Source organism: Homo sapiens, chromosome 19 (genome assembly GCF_000001405.40).
Source record: "Homo sapiens chromosome 19, GRCh38.p14 Primary Assembly".
Lineage (NCBI taxonomy): Eukaryota > Metazoa > Chordata > Mammalia > Primates > Hominidae > Homo > Homo sapiens.
Window position 1 is genome coordinate 44,281,863 of NC_000019.10, and position 25,607 is coordinate 44,307,469.

A 25,607-nucleotide genomic window follows, 5' to 3' on the forward strand; every position below is an offset into this window, starting at 1 on the left:
TAAGGTGTCACAGTTTGGCACAAAGGTTCTGAGACTATAAACCCAACTGAAAACAGAGTAATCTTTGTGTATTTTTTTTGAAAAATAAAACTAATTTAAAATTTTTAGTTTAATGAAAACAGCTAAATCTTCTGAGTTATTGGCAAAATGCCCAGTGTTTAAGGTTCTTACTTAGATGTATACCTGATATTCAGATTTTAAAAATGGTTAACAGGGAAATAACTTTAAATAATCACCAGCTTTATGTAGTATCTCAGTTTTCAGTACTAATCTAGATAAGCTGTTAAAAATGAGAAAATATCGAGTACATATGAGATAAATGCTTATAGACTTTTTGTGTAATTTAAAACCCTAAAAACTTTAAATTAAATAATACTCATTCACCCTTTCTACTTTCCCATATATTATGGCACAGAATGGTTGATGACAGTGTAAATCCACGTAATAGGTCAAGACCTCTATGAATTGAAAATAAAATGCTACTAAAATTCTAGAGAAACCAAGGGCCAGACCAACAGCTAGCCAAAAAGTAGACAGTAACTCATGACGTGCTGCTAACCATCCATTCATCTGTCAGACTGGCTGGAATCAGACCATAGACGCATCACACTCGGGTGAAGGCAGCTCCTCCTCAACCTGATACCTCAGACAATCAGACTGCTTGGTCATGTAAATCAAGAGAGGACCTAAAGCTATTTATTAAAGAAAAATCATACAAATAAGTAACACCCTTCTGTTAACATGAATTGTTAATGAATTGTACAGTCGTAACTACATTCTTTATCTTTGCTAAAACTAACCTTTTTGCTGAATGGGCATAGATGGTGACTTTCCTCCAAAATAAAAGGCTGTTGGGTCTGCAGGGAGCTACCCCTTTCTTTAATCACAGGCTTGCCATGGTGCATACAAACTGCTAACCTGAGCACTTGAGTATTTTTATACTTGGAGTAAAAATACTTACCTGTTTCCCTTCTATGATTAGAGTACCACTTACCATGAGTTCCCTGCCTCTGAGAAAACACAGAAACGTATTTTCCTTCTGGTTCATAAACAGGTTAATGCCACCCCCACTACAGGATATGCCATAGATGATGGCATATGATGGTTGATGGCAGTGTAAATCCAGGTAATGGGTCAAGACTTCTATGCATTGAAAAACACAGTAACAGTACACCCCACACTATCTCCCACGATATGGGATGACTACCTCTTCAACAATGTGGCCAAACCCTTGGACTGACTAATAACATGTGACTAGGATGGCACAATCAAAATAGCATCCACCTCCATAACAGAGCCTCATCCTTCCCCCTGGGGTTTGCTATGGGTCTGCGGCACTCATGGTTGGCCTTACTGTTGGGGATCAGCCTTAATACCACCTGTAGGGTACCCGAAGTCCAGTGGTGACAAAGGAATGAGAAGAGACAGGTTAAGTGTTCATAAAGGTGGGAGCCAGGGGGCCAGAGCAAATCAGAGGCTGCAAAGGCCCGGAGCTGAAGTCTCTACACTATTTATTGAATATGATCACTTAGATCTGAGAAGCAGATGTTCAGGGCGAAACAGTGAAAGGGAGGCAGTGCATTATATGCGTGATCTATAGCAGTGGCGGTTTAAGTGAATCTCCTTTGTGCTCAGTGTATCTTTAACTTATCGGAGAGTAGCTGGTGGGAGCAGGCTTAACTAGGAGCTTGCGTATCTGTCTACATTTCAATGTCTTAAAGGAGTGACTTTTTTCCTGAACACAGCGTTTACAGATAAGAGAGCAGGTCTCACTCTGAGCATGGGAACATGATGGCAATTAGGAGGCTTTCCTCCTCAGAGGCCTCTTGTGGCTTTCCACAACTTATTGTCCGATATTTTTATGGCCAATTTATGCAGGCACTCCACAAGCCCTTTTCCCAGCACTTACAACTGGAATGGTAGATGCACCTAGGGGCGCCCTTCCCTACCAGGATGTATCCTTTCCCATTTAGACTCTCTCCATGCCAACTGGGAAAGTGTAAAAGGCGAGACGATCCCATCAAAAATAGGCATCAAGGTGGTTGTACCCAGTAGTCCTTTCTTTCCCCCAGGCAGTGGCCACAGATGTAAAATTACAAATAAAAGACCTGGTTAAACAAACGGCTGCTACCTTTAATAATATCCATCATGTCATCCCCTTTCTCGCTGAAAAACCCTCACAAGATTAGACAAGTCGCCCTGCACAACCACATGGCCTTAGATATCCTGACTGCAGCACAAGGCAGCCCTTGTGCACTGATTAAGACTGAATGTTCTGTCCGGGAGCAGTGGACTACAGTGCCTGTAATCCCAGCACTTTGGGAGGCTGAAAAGGGTGGATCGCTTGAGGTCAGGAGTTCGAAACTGGCCTGGCCAACATAGTGAAACCCTCTCTACTAAAAATACAAAACTTAGCTGGGCATGGTGGTATACACCTGTAATCCCAGCTACTGGGGAGGCTAAGGCATGAGAATTGAACTTGAGAGGCAGAGGTTGCAGTGAGCCAAGATTGTGCCACTGCACTCCAGCCTGGGTGACACAGCAAGGCTGTCTCAGGAAAAAAAAAAAAAAAAGACTAAGTATTGTGAATATATACCACATTATTCTCACACTATGACCTAAGCTATGCATACACTGGACATCCATATTTCTGATACAGATATAGGATCCTCTCCCAGGACCCTTTAACAGTGTGGTCCAGCTGACTTCCTTATAAAAGACTTTCATATACAGTATGGTTGGTATTCTTCTCATTGTCCTCATCAGCTGCTATGGATTTTACTACTGTTATACACTGAGGACAGACTTTCTCAAAAGTTCCTAGGTCCTCAGTCCTCACACTGTAAGGCTCCAGCAAGTTCCTGCTATAGATCTGGGAATGTGGATATATTTCCAACTCCAAGTGAATAGATTCCATTCTGGTACTTCCCAACTATGCCCCCTTTCAGCAGGAAGCAGCCAGATTAACTGCGTTGCCCACTTTCCATAAAAATAGGATGAAGTTTGACAGTGGGGAATTCTTACAGAGTACTCCAGCTTTGAAATGCATTTTAAAACTTTTCTCCCTTTCCTCCCCAATCTCAGAATGTGGCCTTATATGTTAAAACTCTTCATCTCTCCCTTTCCCACGAGGTACTTCATGCACAGTGCTCACTTGTATAATTGTGCTTGCTTAGAAATTCCAAGCACTAATTTTAAAGCAAAACAGACACAGACTAAATAAATCAGCTGCACAATCCTCCCACTTAAGGGCAGTTATGAACAGTTCATCCACCACTCCTGGGCCAAAGTCAAGAAGATGCAAACCAGACCTCCAAATGGGTGACTGCTCAAGATAAACCATCAGAAGAAGACATGCAAGACCTGCACCCGACTGCACCGCTCCCACGTATTTCCCACACCAAGTTTTCCCTCTTAAACTCCTTCACTCAGCCCAAAAAGTTGGAATGGTCTTTTAAGGTATGAGCCTGGCCATTTCCCAATTACTAACATTTGATTAGTAAAACTGCTTTCCTTTTACTACATTTTGCTTTTCATGTTTTCAGCCTTTGAGTAGCAAGCAGCTGGACTTAAGCCAGTTACACATCCATAACACAGGATTACATGCCATATAATGAGATAAAACAAACAAGATTTAGCTATAAGGGATTTTCATTTATGCATAACTTTGTTTCACTTTTACTTTGGTAAAATTGATGTCACTGTAATTTTTTGAAAAGTTAAAATATCATCCCAACCTTCCATGCCACAGTAAACAATTGTTAGCATATTAATATCCTTCTATTATTTCTATGCATATAATCACATCATTAGGTGGACATACTTCTATTAATTGGATAATCCCAGGAAGGGTCTAACCTAGTTTTCTCATGAATAATGTCTTCTCTAGTCATTACAGACCTCTGATCATCTTAATGGCTGTATATTATAAGGATATATCAAGACTTACTCAAATATTTTACTTTTTCCTTTTTGAATTCAGGATAAATATCCTTGTGTACAATCTTTCTCGCTTTTGTCACAATCTCCTAAGTGAAATTTCTAGTGCTAGGACTGCCAGGGCAAAGAGTATTTATTGTCCACTAATACCAAGAGGTCTTAAGCATAGAATGCTGTGTAAGTGGTAATCCATCTAAATCATTACACTGAATACAATTTCAAGGTTGGGCACAGAGGTTCACATCCATAATCTCAACACTTCGGGAAGCCAAGGTGGGAGGAATGCTTGAGGCCAGGAGTTTGAGACCAACCTGGGCAACACTGCAAGGCTCTATTAAACAAAATAAATAAACAATAAGATACAATTTCAATAAAGACTCAACAGGTTTCTTGCCCTGCCACTTCCTTTTAAGGGGATAAATGTGACAAATTAACATGCCTGAAATCTGCCAAAGCTCCTTCTAAAGCGGCCTACATGGAGGAAAGACTACACATAGAAAAGCAACTTGACCTGAACCTGAATGAAAATAATGAAAGGAAACCAAGTATTAACAATTCAAGTTTACTAAGAAACTTTTTGTCATCAGTAACTACTTTTAACACTTTCAGAGTTACAGTACAGCTTAGTGTCCAAAAATTCTAATCATGTAAATTGCAGGGTCACATTAGATAAAAACAGTATTGTTCAGTCTATAAACTGACACTAAAAATCATACTGTACACAACTGATGATACACTGTACAAAGAACTAAGGCTGAAGGATGGGAGCCATTCATGTCTTTTTTCCAAATTTGTGTTAGTATGGATGGCAGTATTATATACTTTTCAGTACTTACTGAAACTAACGTTATTAAGGCTACTTGCAGGATTCCTTTTGAATATAAATTAATATAAATTTAGAGTAGAAAACAGACTAGAATTTTCAAGTATTTGTCCTAATTATAGGTATTTTCTTCACTTTCTTCAGTAATTGCTGGGCCCTATTATGAGCCAAGCACAATTCTACATGGTAGAGATAGAGTGGTGAAAAACACCTCCTTACATAGAGGTTACATTTTAGTTGACATCCATTTTTTCTGTCAATCATACTTTTGTTAAAGGAAGGCCTCTCTCCTGTGCAGACTCCGACAAGACTTTTCTGCTGTGTTACATCTTGAGAACCGGGACACCTGGTACTCTGATATAAACACTGATCATATTTACAGAACAAAGTTTTCTCGCATCTGTGAAATATGACGTTTGTAAAGAATTCATGTCCTAACCAAGTCTAAAACACAGCATTTGAGAGACTTCTTTCCTGTCAAGATTCTTTGAAGCTTCTAGTTTTAAAGGAACTTTTCACAATCATCAGCATGGACTTCCCAACGGAGACAAAGATGTGAGCTCTAACTGAAGGCTGAACCACACCTCTCATTTCTACAGATTCCCTCCAGTGTGGACTCTCTGATGGTAGATGAGATGTGACCTCTGACTGAAGCCCTTACAACAGACATCACATATGTAAGGCCTCTCTCCAGTGTGGACTCTCTGGTGTGTGTGAAAATGTGAGGCCTGACTGAAGCCCTTCCCACACTGCTGACACGTATAGGGTTTCTCTCCTGTGTGGACCCTCTGATGGGCACTGAGACCAGCACTCCAACTGAATTCTTTCCCACATTCCTCACATTTAAATGGTTTCTCTCCAGTGTGAATTATCTGATGGACTTGAAGATTTGACCTCTGGCTGAAGGCCTTACCACAAGTGTCACATTTATATGGTTTCTCTCCGGTGTGGACTCTCTGATGGGCTTGAAGGTGTGAGGCCTGACTGAATCGCTTCTGACATGCATCACACTTGAATGGTTTTTCCCCAGTGTGGACGCTCTGATGGGCTTGAAGATTTGAAGCCTGACTGAAACCCTTACCACACTCTTCACATTTGTAGGGTTTCTCTCCGGTGTGGACTCTCTGATGATTGTGAAGATTCAAGCTCCAATTGAAGCGCTTCCCACACACTTCACATTTGTATGGTTTTTCTCCAGTGTGGACTCTCTGATGTGCTTGAAAGTATGAACTCTGACTGAAGCCTTTCCCACACACGTTGCATCGAAATGGTTTCTCTCCTGTATGGACCCTCTGATGGCTCTGGAAACTTGAGGCTGAACTAAAACCCTTACCACACTCTTCACATTTATATGGTTTTTCTCCTGTGTGGACTCGTTGATGACTATGAAGATTAAAGCTCAAACTAAAGCACTTACCACACTCATCACATTTGTATGGTTTTTCTTCAGTGTGGACTCTCTGATGGGTATGAAGATTTGAGCTACAACTAAAGCGTTTACCACAATCCCCACATTTATATGGTTTCTCTCCAGTGTGAATTCTTTCATGGGCCTGAAGATGTGATCTCTGAGTGAAGCCCTTCCCACACACCTCACATTTATAAGGTTTCTCTCCAGTGTGAACTCTGCAATGAATGTTAAGATCTGTGCTACGACTGAAGCCCTTCCCACAACTGTCACATCTATAGGGCTTCTCTCCTGTGTGAATAGGCAAATGAGCATAAAGATGTGAGCTCTGATTAAAGCTCTTACCACACTCGTGGCATGTATAGGGTTTCTCCCCTGTGTGGACTCTCTGATGAGTTTGCAGATTTGAGCTCTGACTGAAACCTTTACCACATTCATGACACCAATAGCGTTTTTTCCCAGTACGAACACTTTGTTGAACAGGAATACCTGAGCTATAACTGGTGTCCTTCTCATGTGTACTACACGCTGGAGACTTCTTTCCCAAGTGTACCTGTTTATGAAGTTCAAGACTGGAGCTATCATTGAAGGCTTCTTCACATTCATTACCCTGGTAGGTTTTCTGTCCTGTGTGAATACTACGCTGGGTAAGAGGTGATACCTTTAGGGTATCTTTACCACAATCACTATTGCTATGAACTTTATCTCTTTTGTGCACTATATTATCATCATGGTGGTGTGAAATACAACTGAAAATGTCAACATATGGAGCAAATATACATAGTTTGTTTTTCATCTGAGTCTGCTTACAACTTCTCTGATAATTCTGTGTCTCATTCAGATATATTTTACTCCAAGAATTCGGAACTTTCCCAGTTGGAAATTCTTGATTTTCAATGATACTGGAATGATCCCCTATGTGATTCACTAGACAGTTGTCATCCACAGAAGCTTGAATAGATTCTCCTGCTCCCACTTGACAGGGGGAATCATGGTGCTTGGGGAACTGAGAGCTCTTTCCTTCAATATTTATCATGGAGTCTTGACTTCTGGCTAATTTGCTCGCAATGTGTCTCTTGATTTGCCAGCATGAAAGCTCTCCCAGTGAAAAGCACCTTAATCCTGCTTTGTGAAGAGTTGCCATCTCATTTTGATTCCTGTCTCCTGAAAGGATAGAGAGAATAAGGAATAAAGGACCAAGAGACTGACATTAGCAAAGTAGAGAATTAAGATCTAAGCTCTCATTTTCCCCATGGAAACGTCAAAAAAACAACTAGACTGGCTGAAATAAATTTATAGGAACTCTGAAAAGCAGCTGCAACCAAGAGAACACCAAATGTTTTAAAAAGCCATATTTAAGATAGAAAATTTGAGATCAGCCCAGGGTATGGTTAAGGTGTATCTTGGGTCTTTTCTGAGTATGAGTCTTGCTGCCTGTGTGTATTCTCCAGTATACACAACTCCAAAGTGAATGCTTTGTCCAGATGTTTCCAAATTTTACACATAGTTCCTTCGGTATCAGGCTTTAGTTCATGATGGAAACTTTCAGCTTATCTTTACCATCACAGATTTTCCTGGATTTTATTTGCCTCTCGAAACACAGAACTACAGATCTAAGAATAGGACAAGAGGTAGAAACCAGCCAACTGCAGAACAACAAAATGATATCTCAGTAAGTACTTAGAAAGGAAAAATTGACTTCTTTGCCTATAAGAATGGTAAATTAAAAGTCACCTCTTCTTTGGCTACAGCAACTGAATCGTAAGTAGCAACTACATAAATCAGGCAAAATATATGCCTCAATTATAGGCTCTCATTATACAACCTGCACATCTAGAAACATGCTCAAAATAACTGATAGACAAATCCATATTTATAGCTGGAGATTTCAATACCCCTTTCCAACAGCTAGTAAACCAAGTAGGAAGATATGTGGTGGCACTCATGTAACTGAGTCCGTGCTGTGAAAGGGACAGCTGCCCTGGCCCCTTGGGGGTCAGAAGTCACCATGCCAAGGGCTGTGTGAAAGGTGCTAAGTTCCACTGAGACCCAAGCTCCAGTTTTTGAGAAGCCAAAAGGAGGGAGCACCAGGCTTCCTTCCAACCAGTGGTGCTGGTATCCTCCAAGTTTCTTCCTCCAGGCCACCTGTGGATATGCCATCCAGAAACCAGTCCAGCCCAGCCAAGATGATGACCTGTCCCCTTATACGCTGCTCAAAGACTACCAGAACTTTCCCAGGATTGAGAGGGTTGATGACATTGGGAAAAGACACTTGTCTTTGGAAATGGCCAACCAGGAGAAGCCAAAAATTAAGCCAGAATAGTTGATAAAAAAGGACATGGCAAGCCCTGAGGACACCAGCTCCACAGAGGCTGGAATTATCGACTTGAACATCAAGGCCCACAGTTTTGTTTTGTTTTGTTTTGTTTTTTTGAAATGGAGTTTTGCTCTGCCACTCAGGCTGGAGTATAGTGGCATGTTCTCGGCTCACTGCAACCCCCGCCTCCTGGGTTCAAGCGATTCTCCCACCTCCTGGGTTCAAGCGATCCTCCCACCTCAGCCTCCCAAAATGCTGGGATTACAGGCATGAGCCACTGCACCTGGCCAAGATCTGCAGTTATGAAAAACACATGCTGACATATTGAAAGGACAAAGCCCACAAATGCTATCTGCTGATAAGCATCAACCAGAGGAAAAAGATGCTCAAAAACCTCCACAAAACCTATTATGACAACTCTGGGAAGACATGCAGGGAACTGGGGACTGAAGACACCTTTCCCCTCTGAATTACCAAACAGCCCACTGACCGTCGCTTCTGACTAAGAAGGCTCTGTGAATTCAGGTTTTCCAGAATGTGCAAAAGCTGAAGAAACAAAAAAGGTCTTAGCTGCAGCAGCATCAGCAGTCAGAAAACAAAACAAAACAAAAACAATAAATTATATAAAAAATAAAGCAAAACACAACAAAAAACAAGTAGGTAATAAGTGAAGATACAGGCTTGAAGCAATATTATCAACCAAGTTGACTACTTGGTCTTTCTAGGACACTCTATCCAGTAAGAGCAGAAAATGTTATTTTCAGGTGCACATGGAACATACTCCAAGACAGACCATATTCTAGGCCATAAAACAAGTTCTAACAGATGCAAAAGGAGTCAAGTCATACAAAGGGTATTCTAACCACAACTGATTTAAATCAGAAATTATGAACAGAAACATCTCTGCAAAATCTTCAAATATTCAGAGAATAAATAACATACTTCTAAATAAACTGTGGATCAAAAATAATTCAAAACAGACTTTATAAATTGAGTGAAAATAAAAAACCAATATATCAAAATTTCTACTTAGAGCAAAATTTATAAAGCAGAAATGTGTCATAGAAACTAAAAACACAAGAACAAATTAAACACAAAGTAAGCATAAATAGAAAATAAGAAAACAAATAGCTAGTTCTTTGGAAAGAACAATAAAATTAATAAACTCTAGCACTCATGATAAAAACAGAAAGAAGATACAAATTACAAATATCAGGATGAGAGGTGACATCACTATAGATCCTGTATATATTATTAAAAGGATAAGGGACTTATGAACTTTATGGCAATAAATGCAACAATGCAGATGAACTGGACAAATTTCTTGAAAGACACAAAATAAGTTTACTTGAGAACATACAGATAATCTGAATAGCCCTTATCTACCAAAGAAACAGAATTCATACTTACAAATATTTCCACAAACAAAAGTTCAGGCTTATAGGGCTTCATCCATGAATTTTACCAAACATATAAGGAAGAAACAATACCAATGCTAGACAAACTCTTCCAGAAAAATGAAAAGGTGTAAATACTTCTCAACACATTTTAGGAAGCCAGCATTATTCTAACACCAAAATAAGACAATGACATTCCAAGAAAAGGCAACTACAGACTAACATTCCTAATGAACATATTTATAAAATTCTTAACAAAATGTGATCAAATCAAATCTAACAATGTATAAAAAGGATAAATCAAGACAAAGTAGTGATTATCTCAAGAATGCAAGGCTGATTTAGTATTCTAAAATTAGACCTAAATGCTTCCCTCAGAAAATCAGGAACAAGGCAAGTATATCCACTCTCACAACCTTTATTCAACATTACTGAAGTTCTAGTCAGTGCAGTAAGACAGGAAAAAAACAACATAAAAGAAATAAAGATCATAAAGGAAAAAATGAGCCAGATAAATAATTTGAAATACTGATTTTAAGGAAGCTCAATGAGATACAAAAGAAATTTGAAAAGCAATACAAAAAATCAATTCAGGATATGAATGAGAAATTTACCAAAGAGAAAGAGATAGGTATCTTTTTTTTAAAAAGCCAAACAAATAAAAACTTCTGGAAATGAAAAAATCATTGAAGAAATTACAAAATACAGTTGAAAGCTTTTACAATAGACTAGACAAGCAGAAGAAAGCATCTCGGTACTTCAAGACAGGTCTTTTGAATTAATCTAGTCAGACGAAAGTAAAGAAAAAAGAATAAGGAAGAAAAAACAAAGCTTCTAAGAAGTATGAAACTACATAAAGCAACCAAACCTATGAATCATAGGTATTCCTGAGGGAGAAGAAAAAGTAAAAAGTTTGGAAACCTAGTTAAGGAAATAATTGAGGAAAACTTCCTTAATCTAGCAAGAGCTTTAGATATCCAGATAAAAGAGATCTAATGAACTCCACGAAAATACATTGCAAGATGGAACTCACCACAGCATACAGTCATCAGACTAAGGTTTATATGAAGGATAAAATCCTAAAATCAGCAAGAGAAAAGTGTTTAGTCACCTATAAAGGAAGCTCCATCACACAATTCAACTTGTAGAAACCTTACAAGCCAGAAGAGATTGGATTCTATTTTCAAGTTGCTTCAAAAAACAAAAAAATTTGTATCCTACTAGAATAAGCTCTATAAATGAAGGAAAAATAAGCCTTCCCCAAATAAACAAATACTTAGGGAGTTTGTCACCACTAGACCAGGTCTACAGGGAATGCTCAAGTGAGTTCTAACCATGAAAACAAAAGGTTGATACTTGCCATGATAAAAGACACAAAAGTATAAAACTTGCAGGCCTTATAAAATAATTACACAAAGAAAGAAGATAAGTCAAATGGCAACATAACTCATCTTACCGATAAAGACACAGACTGAAGGTAAAGCGGTAGAAAAAGATATTCCATGCAAATGGAAACCAGAAACGAGCAGGAGTAGCTATTTTTATATCAGATAAAAAAAGACTTTAAATCAACAGCAGTAAAAAAAGACAAAGTCATTACATAATGATAAAGTGATCAATAAACAAATAAGATAACAATCCTAAGTATATACACACCAAACATCAGGGCACCCAAATTCATAAAACAAATATTATTAGACCTAAAAAAATACACAGCAATACAATAACAGTGGGGGACCTCAACACCCCACAGACACCACTAGATAGACTGAGACAGAAAATCAACAAAGAAACACTGGACTTAAATTAAATTTTAGGTCAAATGGAGCTAACAGACATTTACAGAACATTCTATCCAACATCAGAATATACACTCTTCTGATTAGTGCATGGAGCATTCTCCAAGATAGAACATATGTTAGGTCACAAAAAAAGTCTCAATACATTTTTAAAAACCAAAATCACACCAAGTATCTTCTCACACCTCAGCAGAATAAAACTAGAAATCAATTCCAAGAAGAACTCTAGAAACTATACAAATACATGAAAATTAAACATGATCCTAAACAATCTTTGGGTTAATGACAAGACAAATTTTAAAATTTCTTGAAATGAATGAAAACGAAAATACAATATACCAAAACCTCTGGGATAAAGCAAAAGCAGTGCTAAGAGGGAAGTTTATAGTGTTAAATGTCTACACTAAAAAAAAAAAAAGATAAAAAATTAACAACCTGTGTCTCACCTCCAGGAACTAGAAAAACAGGAAAAATCCAAACCCAAAGTCAGCAGAAGAAAGATATAACAAAGACCACAGCAGAACTAAATAAAATAGAGAACCATGGAACCATACAAAGGATCAATGAAACGAAAAGCTCGTTTTTATCTCTGAAAAGATAAAATTGATAGACTGCCAGTAAGACTAGCCAAGAAAAGAGAAGATCCAAATAAACATAATCAGAAATGAATGAGACATTACAACTAATACCATAGAAATAAAAAACATGATCAGACACTCTTATGAACAATACACTTGAAAACTAGAAATTCTAGAGAAAATGAATTCCTGGAAACATACAACCTCCCAAGATTGAGCCCATCTGGCTCCCAAGATTGAGCCAGGAGGAAACAGAAATCCTAAACAGACCAGTAATGAGCAGTGAGATTGAATCAGCAATGCAAAACCTCCCAAGAACAAAAAAGCCCAGGACCAGACAAAGGTACACTGGAATTCCACAAAAGGTACAAAGAACTGGTACCAATTCTACTAAAACTCTTTCAAAAAATCTAAGAGGAGAGAATCCTCCCTAACTCATTCTAGAAAGCCACTCTTGCTCTGATACCAAAGTCAGATAAAGACACAACAAAAAAAGAAAACTACAGAGCAATATCCCTGATGAATGTAGATGCAAAAATCCTCCAAAAACAAACACAAATCCCCCCACAAAACCCCCCAAACCAAATCTAATAGCACATCAAAAAGATAAGCCACCATGATCGAGTGGGTTTTATTCCAAGGATGCGAGAATGGTTCAACATACACAAACCAATAAATGTGATTCAGCCTATAAACAGAATTAAAAACAAAAACCACATGATCATCTCAACAGATATATAAAAACCATTTGACAAAATTCAGCATCCTCTCATGATAAAAACCTTTGACAAACTAGGCACAGAAGAAACATATTTCAAAATAATAAAAGCCATATATGACAACCCATAGGTAACATACTGAATGGGGAAAAGCTGAAAGCATTCCCCCTAAGAACTGGAATAAAACAAGGATTGCCCACTTTCACCACTCCTATTTCACGTACCACTGGAAGTCCTAGCCAAAGTAATCAGGCAAGAGAAAGACAGAAAACCAATCTAAATTGGAAAAGAGTAAGTCATTTAATATCTCTGTTTTCTGACAATCTGATCTTATACCTACAAATCCCTAAAGACTCCTCCAAAAGAATCCTAGATTTGACAAATGACTTCAATAAAGTTTCAGGATTAAAAAAAATCAATATACAAAAGTCAGTAGCATTTCTATACGACAATAATGATCAGGCTAAAAACCAAATCAAGAACACAATCCAATTTATAGTATCTACAAAAAAATTAAAATACCTAGGAATGTATTTAACCAAGGAAGGGAAAGATCTAACCAAGGAAAATTATGAAACAATAATGAAAGAAGTTGTAGATGACATAAAAAAAATGGAAAAACATCCCATGTTCATGGATCGGCAGAATCAATATTGTTAAAAAGACCATACTGCCCAAAGCAATCTACAAATTCAATGCAATGGCTATCTAAATACTAATGTCATTTTTTGCAGAATGAGGAAAAACAATTCTAAAATTCATATGGAACCAAAAAAGAGCCTGAATAGACAAAGCAATCCTAAGCAAATAACAAAGCTGGAGGCATTACATTACCTGACTTCAAATTACACTACATGGCTATAGTAACCAAAACAGCATCGTACTGATATAAAAATAGATACACAGATCAATGGAATAGAAAAGAGAACCCAGAAATAAGTCACATACCTACAGCCAACTGATCTTTGATAAAGTCGAAAAAAACATACACTGGGGAAAGGACATCCTATTGAATAAATGGTGCTATTTAATCCATCTTGAGTTCATTACCTGAGATCTCCAGAGATCCATAACAGATTCTAATAATAGCCATTCTGGCTGGTATAAGATGATATCTCACCATTGTTTTAATTTGCATTTCTAGAAATCACTGGTGATTTCAACCACAGGAGGCAACCTGAAAAAGCTCCAAGTGGTCAAAGTAGAAATAACTTGGTAACAAAATAAACAATGCAATACTGGATTATAACACGAAGTATAAATAAATACATATGAGCCCATACTGATTATAAAATGGATAGTAAGTGACAATAAGGAGTTACTGTTGTAGATAGACACTGATAAATCTATGGGTGATATGACATTCTCCAGCAAAAAATAAAAGGGAAAGATAAAACAGGAACAGCAGAAAGTTGATAACTGCTAAGACAGTATGGATATACAGAGTCTATGGCATTATTTACTTTTCTATGTTTTTTAAGTTTTCAAAATAAAAAGTTTAAAGTCATAGGAAAACAAATAGGTCATCCAAATTATGTGTATGTTGGGGGAAGGGTGGAGAAGCAGAAATTATCCATTTAAACTATCAGTCAATTTTCATTAACAGAAAAAGATGTAAAATGAATGTTAAAACTGAACTGAATGGTGGGATTACAAATGGCATCCTACTAAGTCATTTTTGTCACATATCTCCCTCAGTTTGGTGGATTAGATGATATCTTAACAAAGGACATAAGCAATTTTAGAATTAATCAATTTTCTATGTTTTATACATTTTTGAAGTATATGGACCTAACAAATATATACACGTAGACTATGATTATACAGAACACTCCACCCAATAACAGCAGAATACACATTTTTCTGAAGTACATACAGAACATTTTCTAGGATACACCATATGTTAAACTACAAAAAAGCCTTAATAAATATAAAAATATTAAAATCACACAAAGTATCTCTGCTGATCAAAATGAAATGAAACTAGCAATGAATAGCAGAATAAAACCTGAAAATTCCATAAATATGTGAAAATTCAACAATACACATACAACCAATAGATCAAAGAAGAAATCACAGGGGAAACTAGAAAATATCTTGGGATAAATGAAAACGAATCCACTGCAAAAACAGTGCTAAGGGGGAAATCTATAGCTATAAATGGTTACAATGAAAAGGAAAAAGGTCTCAAATCAACATCATAACCTTATACCTTAAGGAAATGAAAAAAGTAACAAGCCATCGCCATTACCAAGACCAAGATGGCTGCAAGACTTGCTGCCTTCTTCAGGAATGCCTGGGCCAAGCAGCCAGTGCTGGCTGTGTCCTTCACCATTGCAGGCCATGCTATAATTCTGCCCCCACTCAGCCCCTACACCAAGTATGCCATCATGATCAACCAGGCCACACCCTACAATTACCCAATGCCTGTCTGAGATGATGGGAGCATGCCTTATGTGTCCAGCCACCCCCAGGACTCCTAGGGCCCAACCCTGGAGTGGCTGAAGAAACTGTGAGCATCTCCACTGACAGGGAGGAGGACCCTCCCCAGTGGCTCCCAATAAAAATGTGAAAAGCAAAAAACAAAACCAAATTAAACCCAATACTGACAGAAGAAAGGAATCTAACCTTTTTTTTTGAGACAGAGTTTCGCTTTTGTTGTCCAGGCTGGAGTGCAATGGTGCGATTTCGGCTCACTGCAACCTCTGCCTCCTGGGTTCAAGCGATTCTCCTGCCTCAGCCTCCCGAGTAGCTGGGATTACAGGCATGTGCCACCACGCCCAGCTAATTTTGTATTTTTAGTAGAGACAGGGTTTCTCCATGTTGGTCAGGCTGGTCTCGAACTCCCGACCTCAGGTGATCCGCCCACCTTGTCCTCCCAAAGTGCTGGGATTACAGGCATGAGCCACCGCGCCCAGCTGGAAGATGGTATTTTAAGAAAGCCTCTCATGAAATGATTTCTGAGCAGAAGCATGAATGAAATAAGGAAGAGGGGCTGGGCGCAGTGGCTCACATCTATAATCCCAGCATTTTGGGGAGGCTGAGGTGGGCAGATTGCTTGAGTCCAGGAGTTCAAGAGCAGCCTGGGCAACATGGGGAAACCTCGTCTGTACAAAAAATATAAAAATTAGCTGGGTGTGGTGGTGCACACCTGTAGTTCCAGCTACTCAGAAGGCTGAGGTGGGAGGATTGCTTGAGCACAGGAGGTGGAGACTGCAGTGAGCCGAGACTGTGTCATTGTACTCCAGCCTGGGCAACAGAGTGAGACCCTATCTCAATCAATCAATCAATCAGAAAGACAAAGGTTTAAGAAAAAACAGCATTCCAGCCAGAGAATAGAAAGTAAAAGGCTGTGATGCAGATGTCATATCTGAGGAACAAGTGAGGGTGGCAGAGACAAAGGGAGGGGGAAAAACAGAATGGTAAAGCTAGGTGAATAGGCAAACATTATACAGCCTTACAAGCTCCTTAAATACACTGGATTTTACTCATGAAATGGGAAGCCAGTGGAGGATCTGAAGCAGAGAGTGACATGATGTGACAGATGTTTTCATTCTTTTTTTTTTTTTCCTGAGACAGAGTCTCGCTCTATCACCCAGGTTGCAATGCAGTAGCAGATCTCAGCTCACTGCAACCCACGCCTCCCAGGTTCAAGCAATCCCCCCATCTCAGCCTCCTGAGTAGCTGGGACTACAGGCACACCTACATCTAGCTAATTTTTTTACATTTTGTAGAGACAGGGTTTTGCTATGTTAAAGACCCCAGGCTGGTCTTGAACTCCTGACCTCAAGTGATCCACCTGCCAGGCCTCCCAAAGTGCTGGGATTAGAGGCTTGAGCCATCGCGCCCAACCATGACAGATGTTTTTTAAAAAAGTCTCTCAGGTAGCTGAGTGGAGAAGAAATTATCCTGAATAAAGGAAAAATAACAGCTGTTAACTACGATTCCGGCTGCACAGTACTCACCTGAATGCTTACCTCTTTGGGTTTGAAGCTCCTTCATCCAAAGCTTTTCTTCCCTCTCCAACTGGGATATCATATCTGGTTTGAAGGACTGATGTCCTATAAAAAGATAGTATTTAAGTGAAAATGTTAAAGGCAAAGAGTACTGAAAAAATCTGGTTCCAATCACATGATGTAAGTCTCCTCCCTGCCCCAGCATGCAATGTTTAGGGAACATTTTTTTTTGTCATGACACATTATAAGAAATACATTTACTATCACTGGAAATACATTACCCTGTGTAAACTATTGAAATAAAAGGTTAAAGGACCTATTTCTAATCAATATCTGTTTTCATCACATCCCTTACGGCAAGCAGCAGCAGTTATTGCCACAATGTGCACCATTCTGGCTAAGGGGCTCTGATATTGTTACTCTATTTTATTACAAAAATGCTTATGTAACTTACTAATTTACTGACCCACCAATGGATCATGACCCACAAGTTTAAAAAAGATATACGAAATAAGGAATCAGGAGGAGCCAAGCTCAACTGTTCTTTTATAGTTCATGTCTAAAAGAAAATCATCTGTCTTGGAACAAAGGTCAGAAACATCTTGTCTCTATGCTCTAAAGAGATAGAAAAACTCTAGTCTCTGAGCAGTCCCAAAGCCTTGAACAAGGGGACAGAGGCCAGGGATGCCACTAAACATCCCAAAATACACAGGATAGCCTGATACAACACAGAATTATCTGGCCCAAAACATCAATGGCATGGAGGTTGAGAAACCCTGCTGAATTACAGAGGGTGCCTGTCCTTACCCACTGAAACCAGGTTCCTAAAGTTCTCCAGCATCACATCTCGGTACAGCTTCCTCTGGGCAGAGTCCAGCAGCCCCAGCTCCTCCTCAGTGAAGGCCACAGCCACATCCTTGAATGTCACTGCCTCCTAGAACATCAAGCACATGTAACCTCAATCTCACACCCAATGGCCACTGGCACCTAAGCAACTCTTTCTGTAGAGTTACTATTCTTCCCCTTCCACAATCACACCAAAAATGCTAGGGGGAAGAAGGAAAACACCTTGTACATGTAACGTGGTGCCCTTTATATAGTTAAATTCCTAGAACTGTCATTGTTAAATCATGGCATACACACATTTTACCATTTGACTGATAGCACCAAATTTGATAAGAAATTTTGCATTAATTTCTTCCCAACAGTGTTTGATAGTACTACCACTATTTTGTCAATCCAACAGGCCTTCATAAAGCTCTGGCACAAGTACGCAGTTCACTCTCTGGGTTCTCAGGAACATGCTGTCTTGGTCAACTGCAGCAGCATTTAGGGTCAAGGTTAAGAGTACAGGCTCTGGAGTTTGACTGCCTTAGTTCACATTCCAAGGGTCTATCCATTGCTAGTTTTGTGACGCTGGTCACAAAACCTCAATTTCCACATCTGTATAAGAGGACCTATATCATAGGGTCCTTGAAGGGATTAAATGAGTGAATACATATAAGAACTTAGGACAGTGTGTGACATACAGTAAGTACTCAATAAATGTTGATCATTAACTCTTATTATCATCACCATCATCTATTTCATCCCATTCATAGCTGCATGATAGTCCATAAACATGATCTACAATATATTTAACCATTCTAAATAATGCACATTTGATCATTTTAAATTTAAAAATGACAATGCCACAAGAAAACATATTTTTACATAGATCTTAGCCAGCTCGTATGGTTATTTCCTTAAGATAAGTTCCAGCTGGGGGCAATGGCTCACTTCTGTAATCCCAGCACTTTGAGAGGTCGAGACGGGCAGATCACTTGAGGTCAGGAGTTCAAGACCAACCCGACAAACATGGTGAAACCCTGTCTCTACTAAAAATACAAAAATTAGTTGGGCATGATGGCACACATCTGTAATCCCAGCTACTCGGGGGGCTGAGGCAGGAGAATCACTTGAACCCGGCAGGCGGAGGTTGCAGTGAGCCAAGATCATGTCACTGCACTCCAGCCTGAATGACAGAGCGAGACTCCGTCTCAAAAAAAAAAAAAAAAAAAAGGTAAGTTCCAAGAAGTGGTAATTACATTGTAAAAAAATATATATACCTTTGTTTTGCTGGTATAATGTTAATTTTCTCAATTAACTCTTCCCGTAAGAGATTATAAGTATTCCCGATTCTCCATACTCTGGCCAAAACTGGACATTTTTTTTTTTAAATCTTGAGTAATTTGGTGAGTGATATAAACAGCTATTTAATTTTTTTAAAGATGATCTGATATTACTTTTCTTCACATATTGCCTTTCCTTAATCCTACTGGGATTTTTCATGTATCAGTAACATTACTATTAAGAATATTAAGTCATTTTCTAGAATATATAAATTCCTACCCCGCACCTGTTTCCTACTTGTCTCATAAAGTTTGTATATGGTGTTTTTCTGTATGGAAATTAACATTTTTTATCTGAAGACACTGCACATCCCTGCATTTGTTTTGGCTGGAGTTCTGAACATCTATGTACCAAACAACTCGATGACACATGTGGCAAAGAGCCATGCACTGAGAAAGGGAATCTGGTGAAGAGCAATGTGATTTCTGGAGCCCTTCATCCACCAGGACATGCCAGGGACACATACATGTGTAGCATAGCCTCAAGTCCCTGAATAGTCTCTTTTTTTTTTTTCTTTTTTGAGACAGTCTCACTCTGTCACCCAGGCTGGAGTGTAGTGGTGTGATCTTGGCTCACTGCAACTTCTGCCTCCCAGGTTCAAGCAATTTTCCTGCCTCATCTACATGAGTAGCTGGGCTTACAGGTGTGCGCCACCACGCCCAGCTAATTTTTGTATTTTTAGTAGAGACAGGCTTTCACCATGTTGGCCAGGCTGATCTCGAACTCCTGACCTCAAGTGATCCACCTCAGCCCCAAAGTGCTGGGATTACAGGTGAGCCACTGTGCCTGGCCTTCACCCAAATGGAACACCTGAAACTTCTGGCTTAGGCACTGGAAGCTTTAACGTCAGCTGGGCATTGAGTGGACTTCAATAAGTGTCTAAAGGTTCACACCTGTCTCTTTATGTTTAAAATACAGATAAGGCCATCTACATCCTCACAAAGCTGTTCCATGGTGCAAATTCCTGGTGAATCTCCTAGTGCTATAAGACTTTTAAACTAAGTATGTGCATCTTTAAAATATAATAACATGTTAATGAATAAAACAGATACTTAACTATAATACAAGGTTTTACTTAGAATTAAAGAAAGAAATCTAGCTCGTTTGAAACTAAAATTACTTTCTCTGAGTTTGGCATCAGTCAGATGCTACTGCACTAAGCTATACTTTATTCTCTCCATAAAATGAGGTGCTGTGTATGAGAAAATGAGTCTAAAACTTTAAAGATTAAAAAAATGGTAGAATTCTCAGAATCCTTATTTGGGAAGAGAAGTTACATGGGGAAAAACTGCTATTGTCAATGTCCTTAAAATGGCAAAATTCATAGATTACATAAACATGGAGAATGAGGAAAAATAAAAACAAGTAAATGATGGAAAATGATGTGATCATTTAAAAAGCAGGTGATATAAAATTAAATTTAAAAAATTCGAAATTGTACCTAAAGTATGATTATATATGTTGAGTGCAAATGAAAAGGAATGTGGGAAATGATTTGTAAACATATTTGTAATGTGAGAGTTGTTTTCCATTTAAAAAATATATCTGTTAGGCCACGGCAGGAGGATCTCTTAAGCCCAGAAGTTCAAGACCAGCCTGGGAAACACAGGAACACCCCATCTCTACTAAAAATAATTAGCTGGTTGTGCTGGTGTGTGCCCGTGGTCCCACCTGCTCAAGAGGCTAAGGTGGGAGGATCTCTTGAGCCCAGGCCCAGGCTGCAGTGAGCCACTGCACTCCAGCCTGGGAAACAGGGTGAGACTCTGTCTCTAAATATATATAGAGATTTATATTTACATATATATATATATATAAAACTATATACTTATATATGAGTATATATATACTTATATATATATAACTATATACTTATATATGAGTAAATATATACTTATATATATTTGTATGTGTTTATATATACATATTTGTATATAAATATATACGTATATATTTGTATGTATTTATATATACATATTTGTATATATAAATATATACGTATATATGTATATATTTATATATAAATATATACATATATACGTATATATTTATATAAAATATACGTATATATTGTATACATTTATATAAAATATACGTATATATTTGTATATATAATACATATATACAAATATACGTATATTTCTTATAAATATATACATATATATTTGTATATAAATATAAAATATATACGTATATATAAATATATAATTATATAGAAATATATTTTAGAAATTAACAGATATATATATATCTCTCTGTTAATTTTTATACTATTATATTGAAATAAAAGGCAACAACCTGGCATATAACAACATTCCAAGTGCCTTTCGTTCCCTTTTACTGTTCCCAAACAGGAAAAATGTGTCCAATCTTTGTGAAATGAGATGTCATTTTAAGAAACACAAAGGCAAACCAAACTTACCTGGAACTTGGTCATTTTTCCCCTCCTCCTTCTGGGAAAAGGCAGAGTTCCGGGGAAGTGAACCTGAGGGAGGGAAAGGCATCATGAGATAGGTTAGGGATGGCATTAGTCACCATGGCACTTTTATGTGACACTTCAGAGAAAGGTCCCCCTGTCTCTAGGCAGACACAGTTGCACACGGCTTAGTGAGGAGAACGGGAGCTAGCTCCCAGCTACCCCTCGGCCCCCTCAACCAGCTGCTTTTGTTCATGAACATTTCATATTAACAGACCTAAATCAAATACAGCTCTCTGTGTACTCCTTCTGAACTTTAGTTTCCAAGGAAATGAGACACAGACAGGCAGGGGAATGTAACAGAGCCAAAATGCCTGGCTTCAAATTTTGGCATTTCTACCTATTTTCAACTGATCAGCAGTATAAACCTTAAGCGAATTATTAATCTCTCTGTGCCTTAATTCAGTTACCTGTGAATGGGGACAATAATAATGCCTGTATTCTCTATTTCCTGCAGCTTCTGACAAGCAAGTGCTATTATGCTTCATAAAACTGCCCTTTTGAGTATGCTTTCTAGAAAATGAATCTTTTAAGAAACCCAGAACTCAAAAATAATTGCTCTGTCCTGTGAGTTACCATTACCCTCAGAAAAGTCTGTAACTGTGATTGGTTGTCTAACATAATTAGTTCCGTTGGTAATGATAGTTAAACTGCCACAGGTTTTTTTTTCCTCCAACAGATGTAATTACTTGCAAATGTTACTAAGCTGGAGGAGCCTCAAGAAAGTCTCTTTTTCCACATGCATGAAAGCAATGACTAATAAAAACCTAAAACTCTCTAAGAAATGGTGTTACACTTAAGTTAACCACACGGGATTATTGGTTATAACCACATTATACTGAACATTTATTAGGGCCTCAGGACACCTCTGGCACTCTGCAAATCCGTAATGACGATCGCTTATCTGAGATAAAACACACAGGACATTCCCCAGGCTCCGCTGGAACTAATTCCTGTCTCCTAAACAAGAGGCTAGAAAAGTCCAAGAATCCAGGAACGGCCCCACATCAGGCAAGGATTAGAGAAGGGACAGCGGCTCCGTAGCTGGATCTCCTAGACTCAGAGGAGTTTCCAAACAACAGGCGTCTTTTTCAGTATTATAACAGAATTAACGGTGGCATCCAACATTTTCCTATGCACTGGTTTTAAGCTTATTTCTATAAAACCTCATTTAATTCTCACAAGAACATCACTGGGAACGCACTAACCCTTTACAGGCACGAGGAAACTGAGACAAGGAGAGATTAAGTAACTTGCCCAATATTTTACTGCGAGGAGCAGGCAGGACTGGCTGGTAGGTGCGTGAGGACGGCTAGGGCAGCAGACCCTCAACCTCGAAGGACGACGCGAGCCCGCCTCCCACGCAAGAGGTTCTGCCGAGGGGACGCAAACTCCCGCAGCCTCCCAACCCCGCCCTCCAGCGCTGGCCGCGGCTTCTCTTCCCCAAGCCAAGGACGGGTTCATTGCTGGCCCCACGCCTAGGCAAAGAGGGCTCGGAGAAGTCTTGGAGACCCGGAGCTGACTCACCTCCCTGGGAGATATCTCAGATCCGACCTCGCCTTCCTGGAGCGGAAGTGCCTCCGAGTGCCCACGGTTCGTGGACTCCACTTCCCAGAATTCCTAAGCGGAAGCGTCTCAGAGTTCTCTCACTCCTGGACTACAGTTCCCAGAATGCTCCAAGGGCAGCGCTTCCCACCAGCTGGGCTTTGTTTTGACTCAAGCCGGTTGGGTTTGAGCCACTTCTCTGGTGCTACTACTGTGAGATTCGTTTTTGTTTTATTCATTTTTAAAAGCTCATGAGAAAATAATTGTAAAATTTTTAAAGTGATGACATATAAAAATGAAAAGTGCAGCTTGTATTATTAAAATAAGTTAGAAACCAAAATTTTTCGCAGAAGCAGAGGGTAGGCTAAAATGGGAAGCGTAAAAGTGACTTAGGCTGAGCTCCGATGGACGCTGAACGTTAAGGAACACCAGATCTCAAACTTGTGTCAAATGCCGGCTCCCCAAATATCATCAACTCAACCTGTTGATAAGACAAAAAACAGAATTTATTGTTGATTGCAGTAATGGAGAACAACACTTCGACGGAGCGTTGGCACCTTCACAGAGCAAAGTGTCAAGGCAAGGTTGGAACTGATTGAGAACTGGATGTTTAAGGCGGGTCTTTCAATGCAAGGGATTTTATTAGTATTGCATAATGATCATGATACTACAGTCCAGGATTGGTGGATATAGCAAGGATTTTTGAAGCAAAGAATCTTAAATTGCAATCTATTGACACTTTCTTTGGAAGAGATTGAAAATTTGATGGGTCTCTGTGGAAGTTCCCATAATGAACAATTAAACAGTTTGCTTGGGCAGGAATCTCCTGGAATAAAGGCCTGCTGATGAAGACAGCTGAACAATCATGTTAGTGCCGAAAGTAAATTGTGATGAAACGGGAAAAGTTCACTTCTCCCTCTCCCAGGGCATGTGATGGGGTGTGGCTCGCTTCTTCGTGCCCAGCCGCTCAAACCTCTAGGGGAGCATGCACACGGGCAGGTTGTAGGGCTCCAACCCCACGGCAGTGTCTAGGGGTGAATGTTTACAGCTCCTGAAGCCCCAGTGGGCGTGTGTTATAGGGTGCTTTTTTAGTTCAGCCATCTGTAGGAGGCTTGTGTTAGCTCAATTAGACCCCTGACTTATCGCAAGCAAGAGAGGGCTTTCTGTATCCCAGAGGTTCTTGCCTTGGTGTACCAGAAGAATCGCATCACACATAGGCTTGGAGAAAGAGTGCAAGGATTGGAGAAACCTTGGAGAACGATTTGTAAGTAGCTCTCAGCAGAAGGGGGAGCCAGAAGGGAGATGGTTTTCGCCTGGAGTCAGCCTCTCAGCGGCCTGGGCGCTCCTCCGACTACCCAGGCCAAACTGCGTTATTCCACCGGTTAATGGCCTGCTGGCCTGCCGGTCTCTTCAGTGTGCTCTTTTGCCGACCCGCTCCCCTCGACAGCCTCTCGACAGCCAGCTGTTTGTGTGTCCGCCAATGCTCTCCTCTCAACGTCCAGCAGCTTGTGTCTCTGCCTGCTAGGGTATCAGGGTTTTTATAGGCACAGGATGGGGGCGTGGTGGGCCAGGGTGGTCTTGGGAAATGCAATATTTGGGCACAAAGGCAGGAATGCCTGTCCTCACCTAGGTCCGTGGCCACAGGCCTGGGGGTAGAGCCCTAGTCAGGGACCACACCCTTCTCCCCTCCAGCACTTCCATTCCCCTCTTCCGTATCAGTGAGGGGCAGGGAAAGAGGATGGAGTTTTAGTCCTTAGTGTCCAAGTTGTGTATATTTAGGGGTCGGTGACAAGGAGAGAAGGGAGTAAAGTGTTTGACTCTTTTCCCTCCATTATTCCTCAAGGTACCTAAGGGCTCATGACAGTGTTTTGTTTAATGTGCTATTCGTTCTAATATACTAAGAACCCACAAAAAGGCAATATAAATATTAAGCCAGAGAAATATCTTGAACTTCATTTATTTTAAATGTGTACTGTTATGGCAAACAAAAGCAGCTCCATTGGCCGGGAATCTAAGACAACGTTGTAATATGGGCATGTGTAAAATCTTGAATTGTTTTCTAATTTGTGTTCGGCTTCAAATATTTCATTACATACTTTGATCCTGATCCTGACATAAATGAAATTAAGTGTCTTATGGTTGAATAAACTAGATGAAACAAAGAAGCCGTGATTTTTCTCCTAGGCAGGTATAAATATACAGGTGACCATTGAAAAACACAAGGGTTAGGGGAGCTGACCCCTGGGCAGTTGAAAAATCTACCTGTAAGTTTTGACTCCCCCAAAACTTAACTTACTTAACTACCAATAACCTGTTGACCAGAAGCCTTACCAATAACATAAACAATTAACATATATATGTGTATATATATATATGTTTTTTGTTTTGTTTTTTGAGACAGAGTCTTGCTCTTGTTGCACAGGCTGGAGTGTAATGGCACCTCCCGGGTTCAAGCAATTCTCCTGCCTCAGCCTCCCGAGT

At 39.4% G+C, this 25,607-nt stretch overlaps 1 protein-coding gene and 2 pseudogenes across 2 annotated transcripts, besides 3 other annotated features; 2 read left to right on the forward strand and 1 right to left on the reverse strand.

The window, feature by feature from the left end:
• Positions 1–4,485: 4,485 nt before the first annotated feature.
• ZNF235 (zinc finger protein 235) lies at positions 4,486–23,163 on the reverse strand. 2 transcript variants are annotated; one of them, NM_001411071.1, is made up of 5 exons: positions 23,109–23,163; positions 21,528–21,590; positions 17,744–17,870; positions 16,958–17,041; positions 4,486–7,334 (listed from the first exon to the last, which is right to left on the reverse strand). In NM_001411071.1, exons 2-5 carry the CDS (start codon positions 21,540–21,542, stop codon positions 5,356–5,358), a joined length of 2,205 nt encoding a protein of 734 aa, NP_001398000.1. In that variant the 5' UTR covers positions 21,543–21,590; positions 23,109–23,163; the 3' UTR covers positions 4,486–5,355. The 2 variants fall into 2 exon arrangements, with proteins under 2 accessions (NP_001398000.1, NP_004225.3); NM_004234.4 differs by having other exon boundaries at positions 16,946–17,041.
• Positions 8,776–9,068, forward strand: MRPS15P2 (mitochondrial ribosomal protein S15 pseudogene 2; annotated as a pseudogene).
• Positions 15,234–15,559, forward strand: NDUFA3P1 (NADH:ubiquinone oxidoreductase subunit A3 pseudogene 1; annotated as a pseudogene).
• Positions 22,946–23,499: an enhancer, noted in NCBI's record as "NANOG-H3K27ac hESC enhancer chr19:44808961-44809514 (GRCh37/hg19 assembly coordinates)". NCBI's record gives its function as "activates a minimal SCP1, AML or CMV promoter by ChIP-STARR-seq in primed H9 embryonic stem cells {active_cell/tissue: H9 hESC(primed)}" and the evidence as "EXISTENCE:reporter gene assay evidence [ECO:0000049][PMID:30033119]".
• Positions 24,076–24,577: an enhancer, noted in NCBI's record as "H3K4me1 hESC enhancer chr19:44810091-44810592 (GRCh37/hg19 assembly coordinates)". NCBI's record gives its function as "activates a minimal SCP1, AML or CMV promoter by ChIP-STARR-seq in primed H9 embryonic stem cells {active_cell/tissue: H9 hESC(primed)}" and the evidence as "EXISTENCE:reporter gene assay evidence [ECO:0000049][PMID:30033119]".
• Positions 24,578–25,077: an enhancer, noted in NCBI's record as "H3K4me1 hESC enhancer chr19:44810593-44811092 (GRCh37/hg19 assembly coordinates)". NCBI's record gives its function as "activates a minimal SCP1, AML or CMV promoter by ChIP-STARR-seq in primed H9 embryonic stem cells {active_cell/tissue: H9 hESC(primed)}" and the evidence as "EXISTENCE:reporter gene assay evidence [ECO:0000049][PMID:30033119]".